Source organism: Homo sapiens, chromosome 2 (genome assembly GCF_000001405.40).
Source record: "Homo sapiens chromosome 2, GRCh38.p14 Primary Assembly".
Classification (NCBI taxonomy): domain Eukaryota; kingdom Metazoa; phylum Chordata; class Mammalia; order Primates; family Hominidae; genus Homo; species Homo sapiens.
This window is the reverse complement of record NC_000002.12, coordinates 118488489-118500406: the sequence shown is the minus strand read 5'-3', so window position 1 is coordinate 118500406 and position 11918 is coordinate 118488489. Positions and strand designations below refer to the sequence as shown.

Here is an 11918-nt window from a genome sequence, read left to right as displayed (position 1 = left end):
GGGCCCTATTTGCCTCAGTTTCAGAAAAAAAGGGTTTAGTACAGAAACAGACTCCCAACAACTGTTGACTAAAGGGTGGTTATTGTCAGGATAGACTGGGTTATTTCTTTTTCTTTACATTCTTTTTATCTCCTTCACTCTTGTGATATCCTTCCTGTTGTTGGTGTGAAAATAATGCTAATTTTTACTAACACGAAACTGATGTATAACTTACACCAGCAAGCATGTTTCAGTTGTCACAGACCACAGGCCATGCAAGGCCTTTGAAAATGAGACACACAGTCACACCATAGATGTAGGTTTGTTATATAAGCTTAGCACTTAAGAAACTACCTGTTTCTCTGTAAGTACCACACATGTAGTTGGACTGTTCTGCTACCAGGTGAGCAATGTTGATTTTTTTGTTATAGCTTCTTTAGGAAGACAGCCATATCCCTGGTAAACAGAAAGATTAACATATTGTCCCCACTCAACTGTGCTTCTACTATGTAAATATAAACACTTCTAAAAGCAGCTAAACAGAGAAAGGGAAAGGGAAAGAAAGGATTCACAGGTCTGTGCTACTCAAAGTGTAACCTGAGGACCAGCTGCATTGGCATCATCTGGTAGCTTGGCAGGAATGCAGAGACTCAGGCCCCACCCCAGATCCAGTGAATCAGAATCTGCATTTTAACAAGATCCACAGTGATTCATGTGCACATAAAGTTTGCAAAGGGGCTTCCATGGAGAACATTTAAAAAATGACAACAAGTGGTCTAAGATACAATTTGGTCCCTCTCGTGAACCTTAACTGATGTCATGCGCTGTTTGTTAGCACTTTACTGCACACTAAGATGAGGGAGTTCCTTTATTTCTTGATTTATGCTTCATAAGAATCCTTAATACAAGTGGAAGCAGTTACTGTTCACATAGTCCCATTCCTTAATATCTTCGGCTGCTACGCTTTAGATAGTCGATTACAGGGGGATGAGATTGTGACCATGTTAAATACATCAACATTTGTATCTCCCAGTGGCCGTAGAAATAGACAGGCTTGCAATTCCTTTATTCATCAATGATTTTACTGTGCATTTAGGCATTGGGCTGGCCCCTGAAGATAGAAAATGAGCAGAAGATGGCCCTTGCTATGCTCAGGAGAAAGGCAGATGTAAGAAACACCCTGGCAGTCCAACATGTGGGCAAAATGATGTGAAGGCAAAGAGGAGGGAGTGGCTTTGATCTCTCCAGCAGTGTTATGGAGGAAATGTCCCCTACCCCTTTCCCACACTGTAGTAAGGAAGACAGACCTGAGGAGGCAGCAGCTGGAATAAAAAGACACCCATGAAAGACCACTGGGATTTCAAATCACAAAATCCTCTCTCTTCTTTGTACAGCCTCTCTTCTCAGGCAGACACCATTGCTTCCTACATCTTTATTAACCCTTAATTCCAGGAACCAAAAGCAATGTCTTTAAATTTGTCTCCTCCTGAACTGAGATCAATAGCTTGCCTTGACTTTATTCTTACTATAACTTCTCTACTGAGGTTTCCTTCTAGATATTTTACAGCATCTCTACTACAATTAGATCAGGAAACAAAGAAATAAACTAAACCTTATCGGTGTTTTATGCCAATATCTGGCAATACTGTGGAAGAGATGTTTTGATTAGGCAATTTTCATTACTAAAAACACTATGGCACAATAAATTAATTCAATGTTGTGCACTTATCTATTAGACACCTTACTATAGGAGTATAAAAATGTTAATTATTCATTATCATCACTCTGATTATTTGTTGTGGCTGATAATTACATTGAATATATTTTATATCAGTAATAACCTTCTGTCTACATTTACAACATGTCGTATCTTGGGGGCTTGTCAAGTTTTTTCCCCAAGCCTTTCCTTTATTAAGACACAGACCTCAGGAGTACATAACCTTTATGTTGAAGGCTGATTTTCTTCTTTCATATAAAGAGCAAATATTATAGATTAATTAATCCAGGATGATTATAATTTAATCACTCTTCCTCTGGCTTCACGAGGGATTTGGCTTTTATTCAGTTGCTCATTCATATTGTTATGAAGAATAAATGCAGGCATAAAATATTTGTGTGCCGTGAATTCACAGAACAACTAACCTGAGAACCTGGAGGGGGATGTGTGCCAGCCGAGCACTCACTAACATCCCAGGCCATGTGGCCTCGGGCTCGAGTACCAGCTGGTGACCCACAGATGAAGGCACTTCACACCAGTGCAGGAGTGCTTGGTCCCTAAATCAACTGAATTTGGTGTAGTTCAACCACAAACAAAATATCTCAGTTCCACAAAATGTACCCAGTTCCTACTATGTTGGACTCTGAGCACTGTGTTGGACTCTGAGAATAAACTCCTTACCAGCTGCTTGATCTTGGCACCCTTATTTAATCTCCTTGTGCCTTGGTTTCCTCATCTGTAATAACGGAACCTTCTTCACTGGGTAGTGAGGATTAAATAGGATGATAATACCTGTTGAAAGGCCCTTAATGATATCTGGCACTGGCAAACACTCAATAAATCTAAGCTGTAATTATTACTATTACTATTCAGGCACGATTTCTCTTGTTGAGGTGGAGACAGGTGTATAAAAAGTAACGCAATAATTTGTTCCAGTACAGTGACTGAAGTCTATTGAAAGGCACACATGAAGGACGTGGCCAGTCTCCTTTGGGTGCAGTGAGCTGGGCAGACTTCCGGAAAGAAGAGACCCTCAGAGCGAATTCACGCAATGAATATGTTATATATGTCCACTGAGATGGTGGTGGTGGATGGGGTCAGGGGGCATTCTGAGAAGAGAGTGAGTGGTCAGTAATAGCTGTGAAGCTTGTCGGTCTCCGTGGGGATACAGTCAGCAAATGTGGCCAAACATGGTGGGAGGGCAGCTTGGATCTCACCCTGAAGGCACTGAGGAGCCATTAAAGGCTTTTCAGCAGGGAAGTCACACATCAGATTAGATTGCAGGAATGTCCTGCAGCAGCCAGTGTGGGAGCCAAGTGGGACAGGCGGTTGGCAGGGAGTCCATACAGGAGAGGATCGATGGCAGGATGCAGGTGAGAGCTGTGAGATCTGAGCTAGGCAGGGAGTGTGGGCTCATGGTGCAGAAATTATACATGCAACTGCACAACTGGTCCAAGGATGCCTTCAGAGAGGAGCAAGGAGGCTTCTGAGTTTGTTTTAAAATAACAGCTATATTACTGGCGGGGTCCTCCATTCCTACAGAACAGGAAGGAATGAGGGAGAATTACAGGTGAAAGGCACAAGTGGAAGACAACCACCACCCACATTTATTATGTACCTCCTGCATGCCAGATACTGTACAAAATGTAATAGGTAACTTTTATTACCTTGTTAAATCCTCGCAGCAGCTCAATGAGGAAAATGCCATGATGATCCCCACTTTACAGATGAGGAAAAGGAGGCTCTGATTGTTACATATCAGGGCTGCAGAGCAGAAGGTGGTAGCTTTGAACTCGGGAACATTTTCCCACTTGATTATCATTGTCAATGAAATGAGCAATACGAGTCCTGTACCTTGGTGGTGTTTCATTCCATATCTTCAATGGGAACTGTCGGAGCCCCCATACTGGGTTGCTCTCAGGTGGGCATACTGTGGGGCTCCTGGGAGAATGTACCAGGCTTTTGAGTAGCCATGGTTATGTGTTGTGTAATGTTTACATTGTAACCACTGTAGGAAAGGGCTGCTCCTTTGAGGTGAGTGTTCTCCCCAGACATGGAAAAGGCTGGGCTTCCAGGGCGGCCGCATCCCACAGCTGCAGGAGATGGCATGGGCAGTGACTACAAGCCAGCAAAGTAGGTGGCTATTCAAGGGAGGCTGGTGCAGATGAGGGCGCTCTCTGATTCATAGAGAACAAGACGCCTGAGGAGATCTCAGGGACAAGAAAAGTTCCAACTGAGAAGACACCTGAGACACCTTTGGCTCAGGGCACTGAGGTAGCAGGTGGAAGAATATGGTCCCCAAGTTCCTTATTTCTGTGGGCCTCAGTTTTCTCTTTTGCTAAGCGAGCAACTTCTCACAGGAGTGTGGCGAGAACTAGTGAAGATGGTGATTCACCAGTAGAGTGACAGGCCAGGTACGTTCCACTAATGTTCCTTTCTGTCCTAGGAAGGGGGCTCCAGGCAACCAAGAGACAGCAAGATGCACAATGAGGATCCCATACATGGCAGTGCCACCGCCCAGCAGCAGAGGGTGGGGTGGCTGTGACCCGGGGCTCCTGACAAGTGGGTTGGCCTCCAATAGAATTTTGAGGAGGGATTTGGAGGATACTTTTGGAAGACAACAAAAAGAGATTAATTAGCTTAAAGAGTGCCCTTAATAATCAGTTTTCGGCCCTGGCTGCATGTAAGAATTGTTTAGCCTTTAGCCTGCACACCCAGAGACTGAGATTCAAGTGGGCCCAACTACAGGTATATTTTAAAATCTTCCCAGGATATTCTAAAAAGTCCCCAGAGTTAAAATTACCAATTTAGGCAAAGGGTGAAGGGTGGCTACTTAGGCTCCACCAGGCATTACCATGGTCTCAGGAAGCCTCCCCCAAGCTCAGATACATTAACAGGCAGCTTTGCAGAAATAGCAACAAAACTTTTCAAGCCAAGGAAATGTCAGAGGGCAAACCCCTTGGAAGGCTCTCCCAGTCATTCAATGTTTCCACTGGGGTACAGTACAATCTGAATGCTGTAGTTTGGGCCAGCCACAAAATGTAGCAACACTTCCTTCAGAATCTCCATTGTCTAGCAGCTCGGGGATGGGAGAATGAGCAAAACTCATGACAGCAGCCCTGTGGCCCAGCATTTCATGCCTGTATGGTAGGATGCGGTACTGTCCTTGAGCAGAAGGGATTGCTGCAGGAATAATGACTTCAGCTGTGCTCACGATCTGAGCTACCCACAGTGCAGGGCAGGTCATGACTAGTTTGGCCTGGTCTGCATCTATGTAGTCAACTCTCAACTCTGCAGGAGAGGATTTTCCTGTTTATGGATTACGTTTGACCAACTTTTAATTCCAGCCTGTTTTTTTCCACTACTCCACCCTCTCTGGGTCTTCCTCCCCATTTTCCTGGATGACATTCAGACTCCTACAACATTTACCTCTGCAACTGTAACTAGGATGTCAAGCTGGTTTGCAGTGTTCATTTTGGTGCTGAACCTACCGCAGGCACCAAATGTCTGTTGATTGATTGGTTGTCACCAGAACATAATGTGTAGCTCAAAGCACAGGAGAATGATGTTTGGATGGTCTTCTTTCCTACATGTGCTGATGAGCAAGAGTTGACTGTGATATCTTCTAGACTGAATAATTGCCCTTTCTACAAATGCCTCTGGAGTCCAGAAATATAGAACAGACAATGTCTCTTTATTATCACAGTGATACCTTTATATAATCTCTTGTTGGTTCAGTTATGTTTTAGACCTAATATGTAATCTAGCAGAGTTTCCACAGCGATCCAACCTGAAGTTTATTTTTACTATTTAACCATTGAGGAGCTATATTTATTAATTATTATAACCTGATTTAAATGTGTTTCTAAAAGTTTAGAGAGAAAAGACAAAAATAAGGCATTTTAAGAGAGCAGATGTCTAAACTCAAGTGCTGAAATAACTTCAGAAACCATAATAGCTTAATGAAAGGCCTGTATAATGTTTGATTTAAAAAACAAGAGTGAAGTAGGCTGATGGGCACAGGAGAAACTCTTAACTTTGAATGTTATAACAGGGTTTGATGTATACATCTGAGAATCAGTCTATAGACTGATGTTTTTTCTAAGAGAGTAAGTTTAGATTTTAAGAGGAAGGATTCACATAGGAAAAAGTTATCTCCTAGAAAAGATGCTGCAGAATTATTAGGTCCTTAGGATGGGCAAAACATAACCAATATTAGGTTATATCTTCAGGCTATTATTATGGGCAACAAGAGAAAATACTGTAAAGACTTAATAATTTTGCCTTTGTAGTCTTGTTTTTAATATTCTTACTAAGCTCTTCCATAGCATAAAGTACTTGTGGGAAACCTGCTACTGTTTCTTCAGTCATATCTTCTTCCAGACTGGGTCCTTCAGCTGCTTCTTTGCAGGTTATATGTGTTTTTCATTTGATTATCAATTATCATTGTATTAGTGTTTCTGGTGTAGTACGTTTAGCAGTTCTCATGCCGTTTCTTTTTTTTTCTTTCTCATGATTAACCTGGCCATGTTTGTCCAGACCTTGTTTGTTTGAAGTATTGAGTTCATTCTTTCTGAATCCTTCTCATCTTCTCTGTCTGAAACCAACCCCACAGGGGTGACAACAATTGCGTGCCGGGTTCTGGACAGAAATATAGTTAAAGTGAAGCACTAATCAGACTGCACCTTGGCCCACTTCCTTGTTGCTAAAAGCCACATAGCACTAGATAGTGGCCACTTGCATCCCCATCGTTCCTGTAGGTAGGATTTCTGATATAGGGTCATAAGACTGTTTAGGAACTGACTTGCATCCTCATTGTTCCTGTAGACAGGATCTCTGACATTAGAATCATAAGGTTTTTGTTTAAGAATCACTTAAGAAGGTTTTTTCCAGCCCCAAATTCGAGTAGCCACTTTAAAGTCCCCCTTCCCAACCCCCCACAGAGGAACGTGATCAGCATGAGAACACAGCTTCTTAATCTCTGTATCCAATGACTTTACCCTGCACTCTTTAACCAATCAATGATCTCCACACTTTGGCCCACTCCAAAACTCTTAAAAACCCTACCTCCAATCTCCTTGGGGAGGTGGATTTGAGGTTTCCTAACATCTCCTCACTCAGCTACCCTACCTTTGAATCTCTTTCTGTGCTGCAACTCAGTGTTTTAGTGTATTGACTTGTTGTATGCATCGGGCAAGGAACCTATTACAGTTATAGGTCTTTCCTTAGAGCTGTATTGTGAGGCGACAATGTTACGTATCCACTGCTCCTTTGTGACTCAGCGATGCAGAAGTGAAGAAAAAAGATTAATGGCAGCTGAGCACAGCCCTGGCTGGACAGTCTCGGTTCTGCTTTCTTTTCTGAGATCTTTTTACACGTTCTGTACCAGCGACCATTCCACTCAGCCAGAGGTGCATCCTGTCCTGTGGGATTAGCTGAGCCCTCTTCCCCAACCTGGCAGAGTCATCTGCATTATGGAAAGCTCTGGTGGCCTTTCCTGCCATGGTCTGACCCTCCCTCTGCTGAGGCAATGGCAGCGCATCAAAGTCCCTACTCTCAATGACTTTTTCTTCACTTTCCTCAGAGCTGCTCCACTTGGCTCTGGTCCTCTTCTTTTCAGATTGGAAAGCATTACTGAGATTTCTCACGACTTTTAAATTGCCTGCAGTCTGTTTTGGGGCATAGGGACAGGGTTAGAGGCCCTGAAGCGATGCTCACTGCTTGTCATAGACAATCTTTTTCTTGCTGTGACCACTATTTCCATCAGTTACAGTGCGAGGTGGCTCCCCCTTCACTGTTTGGTTGCTCTTGGTGAGCTAGAGCTGAAATTCCCAGTGGAAGTTGAGTGTAAGTCCCGGTGGGAAGGTGAATGCAGGAAATCTTCCCTGGAAATAAGATAAAAGGTAAGTAGTGAATAATTATAATTAAAAATTTGGTGAGCGTTCACCTTGAATTTAGGTGTTTGCATTTATTTAAAATCTTCTAAATTGTTGTTTGTTATTTCTAGGTAGGCATTGTAGCTTAATTAAATCCATGCTTTCATCTTTATGAAGAAATATATTGTAATGGGAAGCACAAGCTTGCATAATTTTTAATCTTGCTTTCTCTCAGTTGTCAGAGTGAGTCTAATTATTTGCTTATGAAACTAAAATCAACTACCACCTTGTGGAAGCTATCAGAATTGCAAGCATATTGTAAAACCTTAAAGGATGGTTCTCAACCTTGGTAGCACAAGTGAATCACCTGGTGAGATTTTAAAAAGTACTGTGACCTAGGTCACACCTGAGATGGATCTGAGGTGGTACCCCATGCATTGGTTTTTTTGGAAGTCTCTCAGGTGATTCTGAAGCAGTGTCCATCTGCTTCTTCTTCTTCTCTCCTTGACTGCCATTCCTCTCTGCCACATCCTCTCAAACCAACCCCATCCCTAGGTTCTCCAGGCTCTTTCTCTGCACAAGTCCCCCTAAATAGTCCAAATTCAGTATCCCTCCCTCCATCAAAATGCTCATTCTCTTCTAACTCATGGGTTAAAATCTAAGTTGAGTCTATCCAGGATTCTTGCACTGTAAATGAGAACAGCCAAGGAAAATGCTTCATGCCATCCCCCAGTAAATAATTGATGTTGGCAATTTAGGCTGGTACAGAGCACTCCATACCAGCTAGACAGGCGTCCCTCCACCTACTGGGCCATCTGATCATTTCCCAAATAGTGTTCCATTGTTTGTTCAATGTCTTTTTAAGTTTATGCTTGACACAAGATTTCCCATCAGTCACAATGCAGTGAGCCCATATGAGCAGTCCTACAATTAAAATAACATTTTTAAAAACTTACTTGTTTTATTCAGCATTTTTCTAGATTGTTTATCAGCAGAACCTCTCTTTTCTAGAATGCTTATTAGCCCTGTGATGAAAAACTCTTTAACAGATAAGATATGGTGCTCTGGACCCTTCCCTTATAAAGATCCGCTTCTCGCTTCTGTTTCTTATGGTCCTGCTTTCATGCAGAAAGCAGTGCTTTCGGTGAAATTCTCAGGCTGCATTTTGCAGTCCTTTTTCTCTCACCTCCACAACAGCCCTGAACATTTATAGGCCTTTCCAAGTCAGATATTTTAAATCTTGATTAATATTTTCAGGCTGAGTTGAGAAGCCATAAAACATACCTAGGCTGGGAAAATCTTATAAAAGTTGCTTTACACCCAAGAATGTGGAAATGCAGGCACTTCTATTTTGAGAAAAAAGTGACTGCTCCAGTTGGTGTCATCACTGGTCACTGCTAATTGGGATCTGAACGTTTTAACTTGCATGAGTCGTCTCTGGCCATGCTGTACCTCTGCATTTTCCCAAAGAGCTGCCGAAGGTTTGTGCATGAGGAGCAGTTGGAGATGAGAGTCTAAAAGTGCCTTTTCTCCCTTTTCAGTTTTCTGGCTGTTCCCTGAGGAGCTCACACCTGTCTTTCTCCTTCCTTTTCATCTTTCTCTAGGCTGCTTTCTTAGGACTAAAAGGTGGAGGGTCTGTGCACAACAGGCAACAATTCTTCTTCTGAACCATCCTTCTCTCTTTTTCTTCTTTCTTACCCTCCCCTCTGCCTTAGCATCAATGCCTGTAGTGAATTCCCCAACAGACCACACAGCACATACTCAGAGAACAGCAAAGACCGCGTGCCAAAGAAATGAAGACAACACCATTAAAAGTAGAATTTGATATTTTGAAAGTCTGTAAAGGAATTTGGGGAGAAATCAGAACTGTACTGGCTTTTCTTGCCTTTATCTTATGAGCTGGTAGAGCTCTTTTTGGGAATTGCTTTTGTGAGCACCATAACCTTTTTCCATTTTGGTCACCCAAGGGTGCCATACTGCCTGTTGCGGTACTGGCACAAGTTGCTCAAAGAAAGGAAAGATAAAAAGGGACAGTGTACTTGGAAAAGGCCCCTGAGAGGACATGAGTTTGATCGGGGCCCCGAGGGATGTGTTGAGTTTAGCCAGAACAATAAGAATGAAAAAGTTAAGGCTGTCTTCCAACCACTTTGGTTTCCTCAGCATTAAACACAGCTGGAGTGAAATAGGAGGGGCCTCACCCCTCAGGCTTGATCTGTGGCAGACTGCTATTCTGCCAAGGCCCCGAATTCCATGACATCTCTCCGGAACATGGAAAAACACCTGGTCCCACTGAATCCACAGTGAAAATAATTCCCCAGCTTAATGACAAAGCCCTTGCGGAGTCAAAGCAGCAAAGGATCCAAGGCTAATGCATGGGTTGCTTTCGAATCATTAATAACAATGACAATGCTAATAACTTTAGTGTGGGGGGAAGAAAGGGAGGATAAGAATGGGTCTTCTGATTTGTCATTTGGAGCCTTCCTGTTTTATAGCCCATGGAAGATGGCTTTCCCTGCTCTGTTTTGTTATCTTCGGGTCCCAGATACAAATGTGAAGAGAATGGGCACGTTTCCTGGTGGGTCCTGGGTTCTACAGACCTTCAGGACATTGCCTGAGAGCCATATAAGCTGGAAGGGCAAAGGAGCGTGGCTCGAAAAGGGAGAAATGTGCAGCATAAGCACCAGGAACAAACTCAGAAGCAGACAGGAAGGAGCCCCCAGGCTGAAGCTGACCCTGGTGAGCAGTCCATTAGCATAATTGTTTTGTGGAATGCTAAATCAAGCTAATTATCATATGCGTTACCTCATATACTTATCTTTTGCTTGTTTGTTTGTTTGGTTGGTTGATTTGTTTTTAGAGACAGAGTCTTGATCTGTCACCCAGGCTGGAGTGCAGCAGTGCAGTCATGGCTCACTGTGGCCTCAAATTCCTGGGCTCAAACGATCCTCCCACCTCAGCCTCCCAAAGTGTTGGGATTACAACTGTGAGCCACTGCGCCCAGCTGATTTTTGTATGTGTGGTTAAAACACTTAAAATCTATTATGTTAGCAGTTTTCAAGTTTACAGTATATTGGTATTAACTATAGTCACTATAATATAAAGTAGATCTCTTGAACTTACTCTTCCTGTCTAATTAAAATTTTGTGTCTTCTGTCCAATACCTCCCCGATCTCCCCACCCCAGCCTCTGGTAACCGCCATTGTTTTCTGCTTCTATGAGCTCAACTTTTATACATACATCAAAATATCACGTTGTACACCATAAATAAAAAAAGAAAGAAGTATTCACATTTAAAAAACAATAATTGTTTTGGGTCAAACCATCAATCCACCCAGCCTAGCAGCCCTGGTCTGGTGCAAGATTAAAAAGTAGAAGACAGGCTCTTCAGCACCCTCTCCCCAGCCTAAGGAGAGCTTCAGCCTCCGCATTCTTCATCTCCTCTGCCTGAGTGCCTTTCTCCTGATAGTCTAGACTCAAAGTGTGGGGGAGTCCTTGAGGTCATTTAGTTGAAAGTTCTCATTCACGGTAGCGGAGGTACCAGAATCACTCCACTAACTAGGGGCAAATCAGGACTAAAACCCAGGACTTCTCGCCCTGAAATCTTTCCACTACGTCAACTTGCTTTTGTTCTTTTTCTCTTTCCTAATTTATCTCTAAGGAATGATTTTTAAGTCTTTTACTTTAAAGTGTAATTTACTACTTGCTTAAAAATGTAGTCCTTCTAACAACCTTATGTGAAAAGAATAGTGTTACTATTATAAAATAACAGAAAATTTTTTAGAGAAGGTGGCTCTTGAGCAACATCTTAGAGAGGGCAAAGCTTTAATAGCAAATGTCAGGAAAATGCATCCTGGGCAAAGCGAAGGGACTGAGCAAAGGTGGAGGGGCAAGAAGGGGTCTGTCTTAGAGAGGAGGAAGAGAATGAAGCCTGGCTTAATTAGAGTGTGCGTCGGCAGGACATAAATAGATGAAGGTGGAAAGTCTGAGAACAAATTCTTGCCAAAATGTCAGTGAGTTTCCCTATCAACCCAGGAACATTAACACTTTTTTTTTTTTTTTTTTGAGACAGAGTCTTGCTCTGTTGCCCAGGCTGGAGTGTAGTGGGACAATCTTGGCTCACTGCAGCCTCCACCTCCCAGGTTCAAGTGATCCTCCTGCCTCAGCTGTAGCTGGAATTACAGGTGCCCGCCACCATGCAAAGCTAATTTTTGTATTTTTAGTAGAGACGATGTTTCACCATGTTGGCCAGGCTGGTGTCGAACTCCTGACCTCAGGAGATCGGCATGCTTCGGCCTCCCAAAGTGCTGGAATTACAGGCGTGAGCCACTGTGCTCGGCCAACATTTA

At 42.9% G+C, this 11918-nt stretch overlaps 1 long non-coding RNA gene across 1 annotated transcript in view, besides 2 other annotated features; it reads left to right on the top strand.

The window, feature by feature from the left end:
* The first annotated feature begins 6999 nt into the window (after nucleotides 1-6999).
* Nucleotides 7000-11918, top strand: part of LOC105373579 (uncharacterized) — a 33603-nt gene continuing 28684 nt past the window's right edge. The window contains exons 1-2 of the long non-coding RNA XR_923251.3: nucleotides 7000-7599; nucleotides 10065-10308. This is a non-coding gene — a long non-coding RNA (uncharacterized LOC105373579). The remainder of the gene's footprint in view (nucleotides 7600-10064; nucleotides 10309-11918) is intronic.
* Nucleotides 9598-10157: an enhancer, noted in NCBI's record as "OCT4-NANOG-H3K27ac hESC enhancer chr2:119247826-119248385 (GRCh37/hg19 assembly coordinates)". NCBI's record gives its function as "activates a minimal SCP1, AML or CMV promoter by ChIP-STARR-seq in primed H9 embryonic stem cells {active_cell/tissue: H9 hESC(primed)}" and the evidence as "EXISTENCE:reporter gene assay evidence [ECO:0000049][PMID:30033119]".
* Nucleotides 10158-10718: an enhancer, noted in NCBI's record as "OCT4-NANOG-H3K27ac hESC enhancer chr2:119247265-119247825 (GRCh37/hg19 assembly coordinates)". NCBI's record gives its function as "activates a minimal SCP1, AML or CMV promoter by ChIP-STARR-seq in naive and primed H9 embryonic stem cells {active_cell/tissue: H9 hESC(naive and primed)}" and the evidence as "EXISTENCE:reporter gene assay evidence [ECO:0000049][PMID:30033119]".